Genomic DNA, 19,145 nt, shown 5'->3' on the forward strand with positions numbered 1-19,145 from the left:
ATGGGGTCTATGTTGTCCAGACTGGTCTTGAATTCCTGAGCTCAAGCAATCCTCCCACCTCAGCCTCCTGAGTAGCTGGGACTACAGGTGCACCCCACCACACCTGGCTAATTTTTTTTATTTTTTGGAGAGATGGGGTCTTGCTATATTGTGCAAGCTGCTCTTGAGCTCCTGAACTCAAGCAATCCTCCTGCCTCAGCCTCCCAAAGCCCTGGGGTATGACTCAAGGTGCCCAGCCCTTTATACATTATCCTTTAAGCCATCTACAACGAACACTCTCATAACAACGCAAAAAAGAAACAAAGGGCCAAAGTGAAGAAGTGAACACCACCCTCTTTTCATGCCCTCAGTGGCACCAATGGGGCTGACTTGGGCGTGGTCTCAGGGGAACAGAAGAGGGGCCTCTGAGTGAGGATCTCCCATATCCCAGGACACCAGCCTTTTGGCCTCTGTGGTCTCCCTGCCTCCTCGCAGGCCACCTGGGGACCATTACCTTGCTGGGGTGATCTTTGCAGACAGCTGCAGCCGAACAGCCCTGGGGGCACTGAGGACAGCCTGGTGGAGAAGGACACTCACACCCCAGCCCCGGCTGCTCCTCCGAGTGTCCTGGCTGGCGTCGACCTCCAGCAGAACCAGCTCCCGGCCAGACATTTGCACAGATAGAGACCCGTTGAGGCTGCGCACTCTGTAGCGCCCGGCAGCTGCCTGCACCTGCAGGGAGGCAGGGGAGGGACAGGAAGGGTCTATGGGATCCTGGGTGTGGGGGAGGGCTGCCTCCTTCTCCATGAAGCCCTCCTGAGCCACTCCAACTTTGAGCACTCACCAATCATGGTAGACAGCACACAATTAAGAGGAGAAATGAGACAGAGGGAGGAATGGGGGAGATAGCCTACCCTGGCTCCAGCTCCTGGCCCAGGGGTACAGTCCCATCTTGTCCTTTCCACCACATGTGAAATGGGAGTTCTTACTGTACAAATGGGGAAACTGAGGCACTGAAAGGGTCACATATGCCACCTGAGTCTGCCTAGCTCTAAAACTCGTGCTGGTGCCTGAAGGGGGCTGGTGGGGGAAGCAGAGGACATCTTTGCAACTCCTCCACAGAAAAGGAGGCCCCAGAGAGTGCCCCACGGGAACCAGAGGACCCAGAACTTCTGAGGTTCAAAGAGGATGGCATCTGGGTACCCAAGTGGTCAGGCTGGGGTGAACATGTAGCTAGTCCCAACAAGGGTGCTGAAGGGAGCAGTGGGGAGGGGAGCAGTGGAGGGTGGGAGCAGAGAGGTCCAAGGCTCCACCAGCTCCCAAGGGACGTGAGCCTATCCCTTTCCTGATCTGGGCCTCAGTTTCCCCATCTGCAAAGCAGGTTTAGCCCCATGGTTCTCAATCCAGCCTGTGCATTACAATCACAGGAAAAGTTTTTTTTTTTTTCTTTTCTGTTCTGAGACGGAGTCTTGCTGTGTCACCCAGGCTGGAGTGCAGTGGCACAATCTCGGCTCACTGCAACCTCTGTCTCCCAGGTTCAAGCAATTCTCCTGCCTCAGCCTCCCGAGTAGCTGGAAATACAAGTGCCCGCCACCATGCCCAGCTAATTTTTTTTTTTGTATTTTTAGTAGAGATGGGGTTTCACCATGTTTCCCAGGTTGGTCTCGAACTTCTGACCTCAGGTGATCTGTCTGCCTCGACCTCCCAAAGTGCTGGGATTACAGGCGTGAGCTACCATGCCTGGCCTGGAAAGGTTTTAAAAGAATGCCTGGTGCTTCCTTAGATGAGCTGCTGAATAAAACATGATACACCCAGACAATGGAATATTATCTAGTGCTAATATAAAATGAGCTATTAAGCTGAAAAAGACATGGAGGAAACTTAAATGTATGTTACTAACTGAAAGAAGCCCATCTGAAAAGGCTGCATACTGTATTCCAACTCTATGACATTCTGGAAAAAGGCAAAACCACAGATAGTAAAATGATCAGTGGTTGCCAGGGGGTGGAGTGTAGGAGGAGGGATGAAAAGGTAGAACCCAGAGGATTTTTTAGGGCAGGGAAACTGTTATGAATGATGCCGTAATGGCAGATCCATTACGTTGTATCAATCTGTCAAAATCCACAGGCTGGCAGGGCACGATGACTCACACCTGTAACCCCAGCCCTTTGGAGACCAAGGCAGGAGGACTGCTGAAGGCCAGGAGTTGAGACCAGCCTGAACAACAGAGCAATACCCGCATCTCTACAAAAAATTAAAACATTAGCTGAGCGTGGTGGCATGCACCTGTAGTCCCAGCTACTCAGAAGGCTGTGGTGAAAGGATGGCTGGAGCCTGGGTGGTGGAGGCTGCAGTGAGCCATAATCATGCCACTGCTCTCCAGCCTGGGTGACAGAGTAAGACCCTGTCTTAAAAATTAAAATTAAAATTAATGTTTGAGCTGGGCACAGCAGCTCACACCAGTAATCCCAGAACTTTGGAAGGCTGGGGCAGGCAGATCACTTGAGGTCAGGAGCTCAGGACCAGCCTGGCCAACGTAGTGAAATCCCATCTCTACTAAAAATACAAAAAATTATCTGGGTGTGGTGGCGCATGCCTGTAATCCCAGCTACTTGGGAGGCGGAGGCACAAGAATCGCTTGAACCTGGGAGGCAGAGGTTGCAGTGAGCCGAGATCATGCCACGGCACTCCAGCTTGGGTGACAGAGCGAGACTCGGTCTCGAAAAATACTAATGATAATAATGTTTGCACTCATTAGATGACCCAGCATCCAAGCTTCCAGGGCAACCCACCCCCACTCCCCGATGAGTTCGGGGGATCGATCGCATGCGCTCTGAAACCAGAATGCCTGGGTTCCCACCCAAGATCTTCCACTGGTGAGCTCCATGATCTTGGGCAAGTCACGCCACCTCTCTAAATCTCAGAGCCTCACCCACAAAATGACAACGGTGCTCCATGCCCCCCCACAATAGCATCATGAGGTGACCATGAGCTAATCCACAAAGAGGGTTTAGAACAGAGCCTGCCACGCAATCATTTCACAGACATCAGCTCCTGGAACAAATGGTTAATATGATGACATTTCCTCCAATCTAAGATGCCAGCAGCTCTCAAATGGGCCAGATCTCTGGGAACTCCACAAAAGCAAAAGGTTGCTAGTGAAACGGTGACCTGTGTCAAGGTGAAGATACAGACTGACTTCAGGGACATCAACCTGTGAAAGCTCATGCCTCTAAGAATAAGCAGTTCCCTCCATTCAGAGCCATTCTCGGGCTCCATTCAAGTTTCTAAAACCCAATACACAGGGAATGAACAGCAGGTGTTTAAAAAAATGCTATCAGGGCTGGGCGCATTGGCTCATGCCTGTAATCCCAGCACCTTGGGAGGCCAAGGGAAGAGGATCACTTGAGCCCAGGAGCTCAAGGCCAGCCTGGGCAACATAGCGAGACCCTGTCTCTGCAAAAAAAAAAAAAAAAAAAAAAAGTACAAAAATTAGCTGGGTGTTGTGGCAGGTGCCTGTGGTACCAGCTACTCAGGAGGCTGAGGTGGGAGGACCGCTTGACCCCAGGTGGTCAAGGCTGAAGTGAGCCATGATTATGCCACTGCACTTCAGCCCAGCTAACAGAGTGAGATCCTGTCTCAAAAGAAATTTTAAAATGCTATCGGGCTAGGTGCGGTGGCTCATGCCTGTAATCTTAGCACTTTGGAAGGTTGAATCAGAAAGACAGCTTGGGGCCAAGAGTTTAAAACCAGCCTGGGCAACATAGTGAGACCCCACCTCTAATTTTTTTTATTGCTGTCAAATTAATGGTGTGCCCCATGTCTCCTGAGGGCCTCATCCCTGTTGGGATTCCCTATTTACACCTCCACATCCTTGAATTAGCCACCCCCTAATTTCTGTGCACACACCATGCACAGCCTGCTCAATGAAGCCACAAATTTGGTGGGGGGGACAGGGCTCCCACCTGGATGTCTTTCTCCACCTCCAAAATGCCCCGGGTCAACAAAGCCCTCTTGAAGGATTACATGGCTTCTCCCAAGCCCAAATATAGGGTAGAGTTTGGAGGAAAACTCTGCTTCTGCCCATTTTCAAGAGTGAAATGTGATCCTTCACCCCCTTCAGCCTGGACCATCACTTCCAAATGATGGATGTGGAAACCTCCCTGCCATCTGTTCTTGATTCTACAGGGCTGTTTGGCTAAGCACAACATTGCAAGTGTGGGCTCCCTCCCTCGGGCCCCCATCCTGCCTTCTTTCTGCCCATCTCCCAGCAGGCCAGCTGCTCAGAGACAACCCTTGGCAGGCGAGTCAAGGTCATCTCCAAGGGAGCAACGTCCACACCTGGAAGTTTGGAGGAAATGTTGGTCCGTGAGGATGCCTGAGTTGGAAGAAAAATGCAAAGTCGGAGTCAGATCCGTTCAGCTGGACCGAGGCCTGTTGCAGGGAGAGTTGAAGAGGGGTCAGAGGGAACAGAGAGAGAGATGCAGAACACTAGGAGGTGGCTACTGGGCAAATGCATCCCAGAATATGCCCAAAGCTCAAACCAGAAACTTCTGTCCTCCCTTAATATTCCTCAGCCCTCAATCTTATGCAGGCTGTGCTACTGAAAAAGGTTGCTTAGGAAGTGACATCCTGGATGGGGGGCTGGGAAGACCACTCTGGAACCCCCTACTCCCTGCCATGTTGCCTGTTCATGCCTCCCACAGCCACACCACCTTCTACTTGACCCTGACCTTGAACCAGGCACTGTGCTACCAGGTTCACAATGACCACCTCATTTAATCCTCAGCAGTGCTTTGCTGGGTTGCTGTTACCATCCCATTTCCCAGCTAGCAAAACTGAGGCTCAGTGGGATTCAGTAATTCACCGAAGGTTACACAGCTAGTTAACAGTGGAACTTGGAATTGAACTTGAACTTATATAACACTAAAAGCCCACTAGATTGAAAGCTCCTCAGAGATGGGAACAGAGATGGGGACAGTGTCACCCAGCAGAGATACAACCCATCCATGCTGAATGAATGGACAGGAATGAACACGTCCACGGATGAACAAATGAACAGCCATGAATGAGTAAATATACCTACAATGGCTGCTATATATTCACCAAACTACATTTCCTTTTCTTCCTGGACATATAGCTAAAACTACATTTCCCAGCCTCCCTTGCAGCTAGGTGGGATCATGTGATGAGAACCCAGGCAGGAATGACCTTTCTACCTATGGGTCTGGCACATAAAAGCCTCCTACATAATTCTCCACTCTCTGTCCCTCCATCTGCCTGCTGGGGCACAGCCACAAGGTGGGGAGGCCTGGATCCTGAGAGACTGCATGGAGCAGAGCCACGCTGAACTGCACATGAACACTGGCCTTTCACAAAGAGCCAAACATTGTTTACAACAACAGTCAATGCATCCTGACTAATCACACACACACTGCCAAAATAAGGGCTGTGCTGTTGGCTCCCCAGGGTCATGTCTCCTGCCACCTCCTCAGACATCTCATACAGGGCACCTTCACTAAAGGTTATTAAGACCCGGCCTCCCTCGGCAAGGGAGCAGAACTCAGTCTCCTGACCTGGGATGTGACGTTGTGATTGACGGCAGCTCGTGCATCCATGCCAAAGTTGAATGTTCCTTGGGGACTCTGTCTAAAGATGATGCCCCCATCCAAGCTCAGGGCCTGGGGGAAGCTCAGCTGGGAAGAAATAGACAACACCCTTTACTTCCGCTAACAGCCAAGCTCTGGGTGGAGGGCACAAACCAGTGTCTGCCCAATCTGGGGACCCATACCTGGTAGGAATGGGCCAAGTCCAGGGCCAGGCTGTGCCGGATTTCCCCATGCTGAGATCTGTCATGATGCAAACCCTTCAAGTGCAGGACAACTTTCCGGTGGACTTTCAAAGTGGCCTCGACCTCTCTGTTCTTAGCCTGGGTGTGTGAGAACCAGGGGCACTGAGAGAGGTCTCATCCCATCTCTATGTGCCTGCAGAAGCTACCCTGGGAATCCAGTGGTCAGAAGAAAGTAGTCCAAAGATTGATGGGTTATGGAGCAGTCTACACTCTTCCACTTATAGGGCAGGAAGCGGGGATGGGTACACAGGAATGGTAAACTTCAGTGCCTACAGGTAAGATTAGCAGGGTGGGCTTGATGGAACAAATGTGAATGTGTCTTGCTCAAAGAAAGTGCCTTGGGAGTAGTTTATTTTGTTCATTGCCATATTCCTAATACTTAGCACAGGTCCTGGCATGTAGTAGGTGCTCAATAAATATTTGGACAAATGCAGAATCACTAGTTATAGCCTGAAACCCCAAGGTCAAAGCTGTGCTAGAGTGAAAGAATGAGTAACTCATAGTGGAGCTGGCAGAAGAACACTCATTGCACGATGACATCCATGTCCTCATCACTGGAACCTGTCAATATGTGACCTTTCATGGCAAAAGAGACTTTGCAGTGTGATTGGATTGAGGATCTTGAGATGAGGAGATTATCTGGGTGGCCCTAAAGTAATCACAGGGGTCCTATGAGACGGAGGCAGGAGGGTCAGAGTCACACAGAGACTGGAAGATGCCACGCTGTTGGCTTTGAAGGTGGAAGAAGGGGCCATGAGCCAAGGCATGCAGGCAGCTTCCACAAGCTGGAAAAGGAAAGGAAACAGACTCTCCTCTGGAGCCTCCAGAAGGAACACAACCCTGCTAATACCTTGATTTTAGCCACGTGAGATCCATTTTGGGCTTCTGAATTCCAAAACTGTAAAATCTGTGGCGTTTTAAACCACTAAGATTTCAGAGATTCGTTATGGCAGCCATAGCAAACTAATACACAATTACTCCATCATTTATTCACTCAACAATCATTTAGCTTCTGCCACAGGCCAAGTACACAGTAGCATGTTGCCATCTTTTCCTACCTGTGTTGACTGAGAAGTTAAAAATGCCTGCCAAGGAGCTTTATCACTGGAGTGCATCTTTAAAGGGTGCTCGGCTTTACTTTAGAACCAAGATGGAGGAAGAGAAATAAGGGTCCAAGACGAGAGAAAAATGTATGTCATTAAACAGCTTATTTTATTCTATTTTATATTTTATTTTATTTTAGAGACAGCCTCGCTCTGTCACCCAGGCTGGAGTGCAGTGGCGTGATCTCGGCTCACTGCAACCTCCACCTCCCAGGTTCAAGCGATTCTCCTGCCTCAGCCTCCTGAGTAACTGGGATTACAGGAGCCCGCCACCATGCCTGGCTAATTTTTTTTGTATTTAGTAGAGATGGGGGTTTCACCATGTTGGTCAGGCTGGTCTCGAACTCCTGACCTCAAATGATCCGCCTGCCTCGGCCTCCCAAAGTGCTAGTATTACAGGCGTGAGCCATCTCGCCCAGCCTAGACACGGTTTTAAAAAGAGCAGACAGCTAAATTATATGAAACTAAACGACTGCCATTTACTCAGTCAGACCCTGTTGTTGTCAGCTGGGATTTGAGGCTTGGTGTGGTCACACCGTCTGATTTTCTTCTTATAAACACTGGAAATCTGGGTTTTACTCAAAATCTTCTGATTTTCAATGGTAGCAATTAATTTCCTTAAAAAATTTAAATGCTAAGCAGACCAAACAAAACCCATCTGCAGGCTGAATATGGCCCATGGCGCCGGCTCTGCAATCTCTGGTTTAAGAAACAGCAAACACCATCGGGAGCCACTTCTGCAGGTGTCTAAGGCTGTCATCCTGCCATTTGTTTCTCCCTAGAAGCTCCAATAACTGTACTACCTTATCCCCGGGGAGCCACACGCAGCCTCGTTTAACTAATGGTGAAGGGAGCCCCCAGAAAGGTGGGTCTCAATGCTCAACAGCTGCCTGGTTCACCCTCCTTCCCAGGGGCTGTTGTGTATCTTGCAAATAGAAATGGCCGGGCGTGGTGGTTCATGGCTGTAATCCCAGCACTTTGGGAGGCTGAGGCCGGGGGATCACCTGAGGTCAGGAGCTCGAGACCAGCCTGGCCAACATGCAGAAACCCCAACTCTACTAAAAGTACAAAAATTAGCCGGGTGTGGTCATGGGAGCCTGTAATCCCAGCTACTCGGGAGGCTGAGGCAGGAGAATCACTTGAACCCAGGAGGCAGAGGTTGCAATGAGCCGACATTGCGCAGCTGCACCCTAGCCTGGGCAACAGAGCAAGACTCGATCCTCAGTCTCAAAAAAAAAAAAAAAAAAAAAAAAAAAATGATCGGAGGGGTCTGTGCATGAACCTGGGACGTGGAGGTTGCGGTGAGCTGAGATCAAGTCATTGCACTCCAGACTCCAGCCTAGACAACAGAGTGAGACTCTGTCTTAAAAAAAAAAAAAAAAAAAAAAAAAGAGAGAGAGAGAGAAACAATGACTATCTTCCTTGCACACAGTAGATGCTCCATAAATGCTTGCTGAAAAATACGATGCTCTCCCAGAGTATCAACTCCTCCTAGAGGTGTCAGGAAGAAGACCCGGATGGGGTTCTAGTAGGCATTTTACAACGCTACATTGTAATCGTCACAGCCACTGCATAGAGATGAGTACTGCTGCTCCCATTCTGCACACAAGGAAACTGAGGTCCAGAGAGATGAAATAATTTGCCAAGGACACACAGGCAAAAACAAGTTTCACCCCTAGGGAGCCACATGTCAAGACCCTCAGCCAGGGGTGGTGACTCTTATCTGTAATCCCAACACTTTTTTTTTTTTTGAGACCAAGTCTCTCTCTGTCACCAAGGCTGGAGTGCAGTGCTGGGATCTCGGCTCACCGTAACGTCTGCCTCCCAGTTTCAAGTGACTCTTGTGCCTAAGCCTCCGGGGTAGCTGGGATTATAGGCACCTGCCACTATGCCCAGCCAATTTTTATAGTTTTTTTTTTAGTAGAGATGGGGTTTTACCATATTGGCCAGGCTGGTCTCGAACACCTGACCTCAAGTGATCCACCCACCCTGGCTTCCCAAAATGCTGGGATTACATGTGTGAGCCACCACACCTGGCCCAATCCCAGCACTTTGGAAGGTGAGGCAAGAGGATCCCCTGAATCCAAGAGATCAAGACCAGCCTGGGAAACACAGTGAGACCTCCATCTCTACAAAACATCTTAAAATGAGCTGGGTGTGGTGGTGCACACTTGTGGTCTCAGCTACTTAGGAGGCTGAGGTGTGAGGGTCACTTGAGCTTGGGAGGTCAAGGCTGCAGTGAGTGAGCCATGATCGCACCCCTGCCCTCCAGCCTGGGTGACAGAGCAAGACCCTGCCTCAAAAAAGACCCTCTAAGTCAGGGGTCAGCAACTACAGCCCCTGGTCCAAATGTGGCCTGTTTTTGCAAGTGAAGCCCTGTTGGGACACAGCCACGCCCGTTCATTACGTATTATTCACGGTGCTCTTGAATTGTAACGGTAGTTATGAGTGAACAAGACCTGAACCATGTGGCCCATGAAACCTAAACTAGTTACTATCTGGTTCTTTCCAGAAAAGTTTGTTGACCTCTGCTCTGGATCCTGGCATGCAATGGGTGTTAAATAACATCATGACGGCAACTATTCATTGAGCACCTACTGTGTACCAAGCCCTGTGGCTACGGTGGTAAAGTACTCATGGAGATCATGAGCTTTCCAGAGGAGCCAGGGATTGATGGATCACACAAAAATAGAACTGGGGCCAGGTACGGTGGTTCACACCTATAATGTCAGCATTCTGGAGGCCAAGATGGGAGGATGGCTTAGAGTCCAGGAGCTCAAGACCAGCCTGGGCAATATAGCAAGACTCTGTCTCTACTAAAAATAAAAATAAAAAATAACCAGGTGTGGTGGTAATGTGTGCCTGTGGTCCCAGCTACTTGGTAGGCTGAGGTGGGAGGATCACTTAAGCCTAGGAGGACAAGGCTACAGTGAGCTGAGATTGTGCCACTGCACTACAGCCTGGGTGACAGAGTGAGACTTTGTCTTTAAAAAAAAAAAAAAGAACTGGGATTTGTGATAGGTACTAAAAGCGAAAGCTATAGGGCAAGCTGGGTGCAGCGGTAATCCCAGCACTTTGGGAGGCCAAGGCGGGCAGATCACTTGAAGTCAGAAGTTTGAGACCAGCCTGGCCAACATGGTAAAACCCAGTCTCTACTAAAAATACAAAAATTAGCCAGGAGTGGGAATGCACGTCTGTTATCCCAGCTACCTGGGAGGCTGAGGCAGAAGAATCACTTGAACCTGGGAGGCCGAGGTTGCAGTGAGCTGAGACTGCACCACTACACTCCGGCTTGAGCGACAGAGTGAGACTCTTTCTCCAAAAAAAAAAAAGAAAGAAAAAGATATAAGGCATCGCTAGGGTAAGCACGGGTCTGTGTGAGGTGGTCTGGGGGTCAGGTGAGAGGATGCTTGAGCTCAATCCTAAAAGATGAGTAGAAGGGAGGAGGCAAAGCTGAAGGAGAGGGTGACGGCTCCAGGCACACAGGACACGCAGAGGTCCCGAGGCAGGAAAGAGCCAGGCGAGGAAATGCGAAGAGGCTGGATGAGGCAGATGCAGGCCACGAAGCAGGGCTGAGGGGACAGGACTGGGGCTTTATCCCAAGAGAGGCTGTCAGAGTTTGAGAGCATGCGGGTGGCAGGGTTGTGCTGGCCTTCAGAATATATCCCTCTGACTGTCACATAGACTGTACTAGGGAGGACCAAATGAAACAGAGAACCCAGTCAGGAGAACCTTTTTTTTTTTTTTCCTGAGGCAGTGTCTTGCTCTGTGGCCCAGGCTGGAATGCAGTGGCGTGATCTCAGCTCACTGTAACCTCTGCCTCCTGGGTTCTCCTGCCTCAGCCTCCTGAGTAGCTGGGACTGCAGGTACCTACCACCATGCCCATCTAGTTTTTATATTTTTAGTAGAGACAGGGTTTCACCATGTTGGCCAGGATGGTCTGGAACTCCTGACCTCAGGTGATCTGCCCGCCTTGGCCTCCCAAAGTGCTAGGATTACAGGTATGAGCCACCACACCTGGCCAGGAGAACTTTTTTGTGTGTGAGGTTGGGGGGCGGGGGAGTGGTGTCTGAGTCTTGCTCTGTTGCCCAGGCTGGAATGCAATGGTGCAACCATGGCTCACAGAAGCCTCAACATCCTGGGCTTAATCAGATCCTCCTGTCTCAGCCTCCCCAGTAGCTGGGACTACAAGCACATGCCACCATGCCTGGCTAATTAAACAATTTTTTTTTCTTTTGTAGAAACAGGGTTTCCATATGTCGCCCAGATGGATCTCAAACTCCTGGTCTTAAGCGATCTTCTCACCTCAGCCTCCTGCGTAGCTAAGATTACAGGTGTGAGCCACTGCACTCAGTCCAGATAACATGTTTTCAATCCTATTGAGCGATGACAGCAACTTGAACCAGGGCTGGCTGGGGTGCAAAAGTCTCTGGGGTCTCTGCTCTTACCGTGTGCTGATTCCAAGTAACCAGGCACCCCTCTGTGTTCCTGGGGATGACTTTGCCATCGTATGGATGCATCAGACCTGCACAGACCTGGGAGGGACAACCACATACATGTACACACGCATGCAGGGAGTGAGGAGGCAGCTGGGGCCTTCCTCTGGCTCTCAGGCCCCTTCCGGGCTATGCCCCAGACACACTCACGTAGGGGTGTCCGGCCTGGCAGCCCAGGACCATGGTCTGCAGGGTTTCCTCTCGGCCATTCAGGACAACCCTAGTCTCCAGGGAATAGCGCTGGTGTCGCCTATCAGCTGTGAAGGTCTCCTGCAGGAGGAGGCTCTGCGGGATGGGCAGGTGCAACGGGTGCCTGGTGTGCAGAGGGAAAAACAGGCCAAAGCCATTAAAGCAGCTGGCAGTGCCAGGGGACAATTGTGCCCCACGGTCTCAGCCTGGGCCTGTCACGAGCTTGCAGAGTTAAGACTCTGCCACAGAGAAGAGAACATCAGGACACCTGGCAGCCCTATGCTTTACAATGTGGCATCCAGAACCCTTCACCACCTCACTGTGCCAGAGAAGTGGGCATGGCTGGGGTCCCCGTCGCCATTTGACAGCAAAGACCCAAGAGGATAGATGACACACAGCATCTGGTGTCACACAGACTGGGATTAGAATCCAGGCACGGTCTTTCACTAGCTGTGTGACCTTGGGAAAAGGACTTGACTGTTCTGTGCCTCAGTTTCCCCATCTGTAAAACGGAGGCTAAAATAATACTGATTGGACACAGTGGTCAGGGTTAGAGATAACATACATGAAACGACCACAAGCTCCCCAAGGGCAAAGGTTTCTGACATTCCGGTTCTCTGCCATTTTCCATGTGCCCAGAAGAGCACTTGGTCCATAGTATGTGCTCAATGAATGTAAATGGGATAAAAACACGAACGAACACTCTGCCAACGATGCTGCTGTTCCTTTGTCATCACTGCTTCTGTTTAGGCTGTAGCTGACTTATCTAAGGCCATACAGCTGCTCAATGCATAGCCCGCAGTCCAAGATGGCTCTGCTCGTCCTAACCTCGTGCTGTTCCCTGCACACAGGGAACTGTTTGAATGAGCTCGTCTCTGGGAAATGAGAAGACGCCCCAAGCAGCTCCAGGCTAGGATGATGAGACTCTTAACTCTGCTCCCACCTCAGCAACTAATGGAGGGGGCGAGGGATGTGGGAGCTTTCAGGGGAGGTGGCTCTTCTCTGGGATTTAGGTTCCATCTGGGCCCCAGCAGGTCAGCAGAGATTCTCCAGGTAGCTCTGCCCATCCTGTTCCCCCTGGGGATGCTCCGTGCTAGAGAAGGGGAAACTTGCAGGGGTGTCAGCTGAGCAGAAGGGGCGCACATACCTAAGGAGCAAGGCCCCCCGTTTCCGGTACAATGTCCTGTCTTGCCTCAGCTCCTCCAGCTCTCCTTCCAACTGCAGGCCCCGAGGCTGGCCCTGGGCACCAATCCGCACAGCCGTGAGCGACACCTGGGTCTTCCGGGGCTGCAACAAGATCCAGGCTGAAGAGAGGGACGGGCCAGCAGGACCAAGCTGCAGACCTGCCTTGCAGGAAGGCAAGAGGTAGCCCCCCACAACCTGCCCATCACCCCCAGAAATGACTATCCGAGAATGGCTACTGAACTGAGCCACAGCCTCCACCCTGATCAGACCACAGGATCCCACCGGCACACCACCATGGCTAGACCTCCCTAGGTACCCGGGGGAAAGAAGAACTTGGACTTCTCAGCTAAAGGAAGCCAAGTTTTGCTCCTGGATCTTTGCTAAAGTGACCAGGGTCCATTTCACAGGCCAAGAAACTAAAGCTTGTCTGGGCATGGTGGCTCATGCCTGTAATCCCAACACTTCGGGAGGCTGAGATGGGAGGGTAACTTGAGCCCAGGGCTTTAAGACCAGCCTGGGAAACAGCAATACCTCGTGTCTGCTAAAACAAACAAACAAACAAACAAACAAACAAACAAACAAACAAACAAACAAACGTCAGTGATGCATGGTGGCATGAGTGGCATGTGCCTATAGTTCTAACTACTTAGTAGGCTGAGCGGGGAGGATCCTTCAAGCCCAGACATTCGAGGCTGCAGTGAGCTATGACAGCATCACTGAACTCCAGCCTGGGCAACAGAATGAAACTGTCAAAAAATATATAAGAAAAGAAGGAAAAGGAAAAAGGAAAAGGAAAGAGAAAGAGAAATAGAGGCTCCAGGAGGCCCAAGGTCACAGGCCAAGCCAGTAGCACAAAGCCCTTTTCCATCCGAAGCAGGGAGAGAGGTAGGAAACCGAGGTGAGGGATTCGGTGGTCTCTTGGCTGCACGGGCCTCCTGGGTTCTTACCCACTCCAGGTGCCTGTAGGCCGCTGTTAGGTTCAGCTCCTGCTGGGGGCCTTTCAACCAGCAGTTCAGGATCTTACGGTCCCGGCTGTTCTCAGCATGGATCTCGCCCTGCACTGCTGCGTTCCAGGCTGACTCGAGTTCGCTCCAGCTGTGGAAGAGGCTCTGTGCCAAGACTGTCACTGTGGAAACCTGCAATGAGGTGAGGAGGGGGACCAAGGCCTTTGCACACCCTATTTCCTCCACCTGGGATACCCTTTCATCTCTTTCCTGCTTGGTGAACTCCTCTTCATCCCTCAAAACCCCTTCAATGCCATTTCTCTGACGCCTAACCTGACTGGTGCAGGTAGGCTAGTTTTCTCTACAGGGCCTTGAAACAAGAAGAAAAACTCCTCTCTGTTGCCCCAACCCTGAGCAGAAATAATTTCCTTTTCTCCTCTTCAGTTTGGGGAGGGAATCTGATCTTGTTGGGCCGCTATTACTAGTAGCCAGGGTGTCTGTACCCTGAAGGGCACATGCTGGCAGGTGGCCTTCTCTCCCTGCACCATCACCATGGTCTTCGGGAGTCCTAGGAAGAGGTGGGTGTCATCTGGCTCGTTTCAGAGCTAGGGGAGGTAGGGCATTTGCAGCCGCCACCCTGGCACAAGCCCCCCATGGGATGGTTCCCTGTTGGCCACCATCCCTTGTTCACACAACTCAGGGGTCTCACCAGGAGAAGTGACAAGGACAAGACAGGGTTTGGGCGTGGCTGAGCCTCCAACCCAATACCAGAACTTCGTAACACTTTGTCCCATGTCACTGATCCTTGGTTCCCCACCATCAACTTCCCCATTTCCTAGAATGGCACTTCCATCCCACCAGATGCTTGGGCCAAGACCTCAGAGCCATTTATTTCCTTTCCTTCACTCCTTCCCCACCACTAGTCCATCAGCAAATCTGGCATCTCCAGGATCTGGACACTTGCCGGCACCTCCACTGCCACCACCCCGGGCCAGGCCGCCATGCCCTCTGGTTGGGTGAAGGGCAGGAGCCGGCTAGCCGACCACACCTTGCTCTCCTGTCTTGGCATCCTCTGTTACACAGAGGCCTCCTCATGGTCCCTAAGATTACCACCGCTCTTGACTCCAACCTGGTGCCACCCAGCCCTGCCTCAGAGGGGACTGTGCTGCCCTCGGATGAGCCCAATCAAGGCCCAGACCTTCCCCACATCCACGCATCACCCAGACAGTCCACCCACCAGGCTCCCTCAGCCCTGCAGATGACACTCATGGCTTTTCTCCCAAACCTGTTCTTGCTTCTGCACCAAACGTGTGCAGAGAAGCAACATCATGACAGTCAGTAGTCGGCATCAAACCGACTTACGTCCTAGAAATTTTCACTCTGTTTTTTTGGCAAAAGCCGAATGTCCATCTGTTTCCAAAGTCCCGTTTGACTTGCTTTCCTATTTTATATTTCTCTCCCCGTCATCTGCCGAGCAGGGATGTGGGAAATCTAGATTTTCTTTTTTTAGGTCTAATTCTTCTACGTCACTTAGGAACTAAACTCTGATAGTTGCAGGCACTGGGAGGGCCAGACTTCACACACCTGTGAGCTGCTATCTGCCCACAGACCTCAGCTTTCATCCGCCTCTGCACCAGAAAAAGATCTCAGTGGCAGGGGACCAGACATATATCGGGGGCCGAGCACTGCTCACCCGGAGGTAGGTGGTAGCTGCGGTGTAAACCTGGATCTTGCCTTCCCTGTTGGGGCCCTGACTCCTGCAGCCCACGCTGACCACCAGGTCCTTTAGGGTCCAGGCCTTGCCCAGCGTTAGCTCCAGGACAGCCTGGAACACAGCTCGGTGTGGCCAGTATAGCCTGTGAGCTGCAGAGACCATCAGCCATGGACTATCCAGGTTCAAGGCTCCTGCAAGCAACAAAGAAGGAGAATCTGGTACACGGGGTAGAGAGGAAGCTTCTAGCAGGCAGCTGGAGGTCCCGAGAGTCTCATCACAGCCGCAATGGACAAATCTCAAAACTGGGAATAACTAGGCATGAGGGAACTTTCTAGGACGTTGGTAATGTTGTGACTCATGACAGGTGTTTGGATCACCCAGATGTATACACCTGTCAAAACTCATCCAATCGCACCATGGAGATTTATACATTTCACTGTGCTTAATGAAACACATGCTGAAACGTTTAGGAGTGAGAGGTATCCATGTCTACAATTTACTTTCAACTGCACGGAAAAAATAAGAGGGCTGGATATGCAGAGAGAGAGGTGATGAGGCAAGTGGGGTCAACTGTTAATAGCAGAACCTAGTATGAGAGGATGCTGGTAATCACTGTACCATTCATCCAACTCTTCTGAATGCAATTTTTTCATAATAAAACATTGGAAGGTCAAGCGCAGTGGCTCATGCCTGTAATCCCAGCACTTTGGGAGGCCAAGGCAGGAGGATCACTTGAGTCTAGGAGTTTGAGTCTAGCCTGGGCAACAAAGCGAGACCCCATCTCTACAACAAATACAAAAATTAGCCAGGCACGGTGGTGCTCACCTATATCCCAGCTACTTGGGAGGCTGAGGTGGAGGCTGCAGTGGCTGTAATGGTGCAATGCACTCCAGCCTGGGCAACAGAGGGAGACCCTGTCTCAAAACAAACAAACAAACAAACAAACAAACAAAAAACCAAACAAAAAACACAGGTAGAAATGCTGAGGGCTGTGAAGAAAAACAATAAAGAAGGAATTTGATAAAAATTGGTTAGGTCAGCAAAGGCTTCTAGGAGGAAGTGACAATTTACCTGATACCTAAATGACAGACAAGGGGGAGTTGATCAAAGGGGCAGGCAACCCACCCCTGCTGGAGACAGGAGATTTACTGTCTGGGGAAACTGAGGCAGACAGGCTCAGATGCAGGGACAAAGACACAGTGACGGGAAGGAGGAGCCGCGGAGTTGAGAATAGGGAGACATTGAAGAGTGGGCAGTCTGGTCCCTGCCCAGTTGCTCCCTTCCCACGGGAAGCGGGAAGATGGCACCACAGAAGAACAGAAGGAACGCACGGATCCCTGGAGAGCCAGGTCCCCACCCAGTTGCTTGATTGACAGGGAAACCCACCGGTCTGCACATGCCCCACCTATGTATAGCGCCTCTTTCCAAACAAGTTTTGAGTCTCCAATTAGTTTTCTATTTCATTCATGTTCTTTCAAGGTGATAAAGATCTTATTTCACTTTATAGATCACAGTTGTGATCTGGCAAACTCAGGCCCTCCAGAACATCTGTCTGGTTGCTCAGTTTTTTTGTTTGTTTTTTTTTTTTTTTTGCTTTTGAGGTCATGGTCATTCATTTATTTCTCATTACATTGGGCTGGGCCAAGAGTCATGCGCCAGTGTATAGATTATGTTATTCTGTTGCTTTCAGACAGAATTGGGATCCAGGTTCTAATTGTCTCCCAAGTTCAAGACCTGGATCAGAACCAGAAGAGAGTGGCCACTGCTGCGGGAGGCTAGGGGCTGCTGGAGGAAAGGCAGGAAACAGACCTAGAGCTGACCACACGCGGGGTTCATGATCAAGGGCGCCCCTCTGGGTACCCGAGGATCCTGCACACAGCTCATGGGTCAGGGAGCCCACAGCGGCCCCTCAAAGTGAATGGGGATGGCACAGGCCTGGGTTTGGAACTCCGGAGCTGGAAGGACAACTGCATCTGCCCAGGCAGGACCTGAAAACATGTTGTCCTTCCATTTGTATCCCAAAATCCTGTGTAGAGTCTTTCCATGAGGACAGGGCCAGGGCTGGCTCCTGGGCCTCTGGGTGGCCTCATGGGTCATTCAGTAAAAGTCCTGCAAACTTGTCACCATCTGGGGACATTCCTGCCAGTTCTTCTCCATGCCCTTCTGTGTGAGACACTGGGCAACTGCTTTAGGCCATTCCTGATTCTTCTTCCTCAACTCTTCAATTTCAGAAGATTTCTAATCTTTTAGGAAGCTCTGGATCTCCAGTTACTCCAAAGGTGAATTAACTGGTCCGATGAGTTTTCTGGTTCTTGGTTTCTTTTTCCTTTTTTACTTCCTGAGGGCTTCTAGTCATTTTAGTCAGATGTCTCACTTTCTCCACTTTTATTCCTGAGTTTTCTCCTGGGATCCTTTTTACGGCAGCCTTAGGGCCTAATCCTGGGTTGGCAGAGAACTAGCACTCACTCTCCCCTAATGGGATCCAGGAGAGTCAAGAGGTGGCCAAGTGTGGAAATGTGTTCTCTCCTCTCTGTTTCAGCGGGTCTCTTACTCGAAGTTTCATAAAAGGATTTTAAGGAGAATAGATTTTTTTAAATCTGTGCTCCAGAATATCAGATCCCTAACTTTGCTAAACTGCTGGTTTTAATTAAGTCCTCAGGCAGCTTCTGAGTACACTGAAAACATAATTACCCTGTTTGAAAACAGGGTAACCAATATTTTGAGCAGCCGACTCAAGCATAAGCACATATCCAAGGCTGGCTTAGCATTTGGGGGAAAGCCTCCAACAGGAAATACAGAAATAAAAAGAAAAAGGAAACTCCGAGGCAACAGATAAAACTCCCTGAAATTCTGTAACTTATACTCTAAGAGAAGACAATTGCATTCATGGAACAGGACGCTGTAAGAAAGGAACAACAACAACAAAAAAGAGCTCTTGAAAATATAAGATAATCCAAAATAAAAATGCTAGTAGAAGGGCTAGCATATGAAGTCGAGGAAATCGGCTCTTGAACAGAACCAAAGGACAAAGAAATAGAACAAAAGAGAAACAAGGAGGCCAGGTGCGGTGGCCCACACCTCTAATCCCAGCACTTTGGCAAGCAGAGGCAGGACGATCACTTGAGCCCAGGAGTTTGAGACCTGCCTGGGCAACATACTGAGACCCCATTCTCCAAAAAAAAGAAAAAGAAAAAAAGAAAAACGAGTTTGAAAAGAGAAACAGAGAAAACATTAGAAGCTCAGTTTTCTGAGGACCAACATCTAACCAATAGGAATTTCAGAACAAAGAAAGGAAATTATCAAAGAAACTGTAAGAGAAAATTACACAGACCAAAATGACATGTTTCCAAATTGAAACACCCTATGCTAAGGACCCAGTACAATGGAAGAACATAGATCCATACCAAGGTACCTCATAATGAGATTTACCACCAACAGGACTAAGACGAGCTCCTAAAAGCTTCTAAGACAGTGAGAAAAGGGTCACATACAAAAGATGATAAATCAGAAGAAGCATCAGATCTCCCAATTAATTCAAAACAATGGAGCAATGCCTTCAAAATCCCAAGAGAAAATTATTTCCAACCTAAAATTCTCCACTCAAACTGTCCCAGTAGAATGAAGACATTTTCAACATTTAGGGTCTCAAAATGTTTGTATTCTGTGATGGGTTAACTTGTGTTC

The 19,145-nt window shown here is 50.0% G+C and overlaps 1 protein-coding gene across 4 annotated transcripts in view; it reads right to left on the reverse strand.

The window, feature by feature from the left end:
* Window positions 1-19,145, reverse strand: part of LOC400499 (putative uncharacterized protein) — a 155,563-nt gene that overhangs the window by 63,154 nt on the left and 73,264 nt on the right. For all 4 annotated transcript variants that reach the window (NM_001395505.1, NM_001370704.1, XM_017023946.1 and 1 more), the window contains 9 exons: window positions 15,441-15,652; window positions 13,751-13,939; window positions 12,766-12,905; window positions 11,580-11,742; window positions 11,382-11,468; window positions 5,771-5,908; window positions 5,556-5,675; window positions 4,321-4,413; window positions 494-711 (listed from right to left, as the gene is read on the reverse strand). In NM_001395505.1, the coding sequence (NP_001382434.1) occupies window positions 494-711; window positions 4,321-4,413; window positions 5,556-5,675; window positions 5,771-5,908; window positions 11,382-11,468; window positions 11,580-11,742; window positions 12,766-12,905; window positions 13,751-13,939; window positions 15,441-15,652 (1,360 nt within the window). The remainder of the gene's footprint in view (window positions 1-493; window positions 712-4,320; window positions 4,414-5,555; window positions 5,676-5,770; window positions 5,909-11,381; window positions 11,469-11,579; window positions 11,743-12,765; window positions 12,906-13,750; window positions 13,940-15,440; window positions 15,653-19,145) is intronic.

The sequence above is a fragment of the Homo sapiens genome, chromosome 16, assembly GCF_000001405.40.
Source record: "Homo sapiens chromosome 16, GRCh38.p14 Primary Assembly".
NCBI lineage: Eukaryota > Metazoa > Chordata > Mammalia > Primates > Hominidae > Homo > Homo sapiens.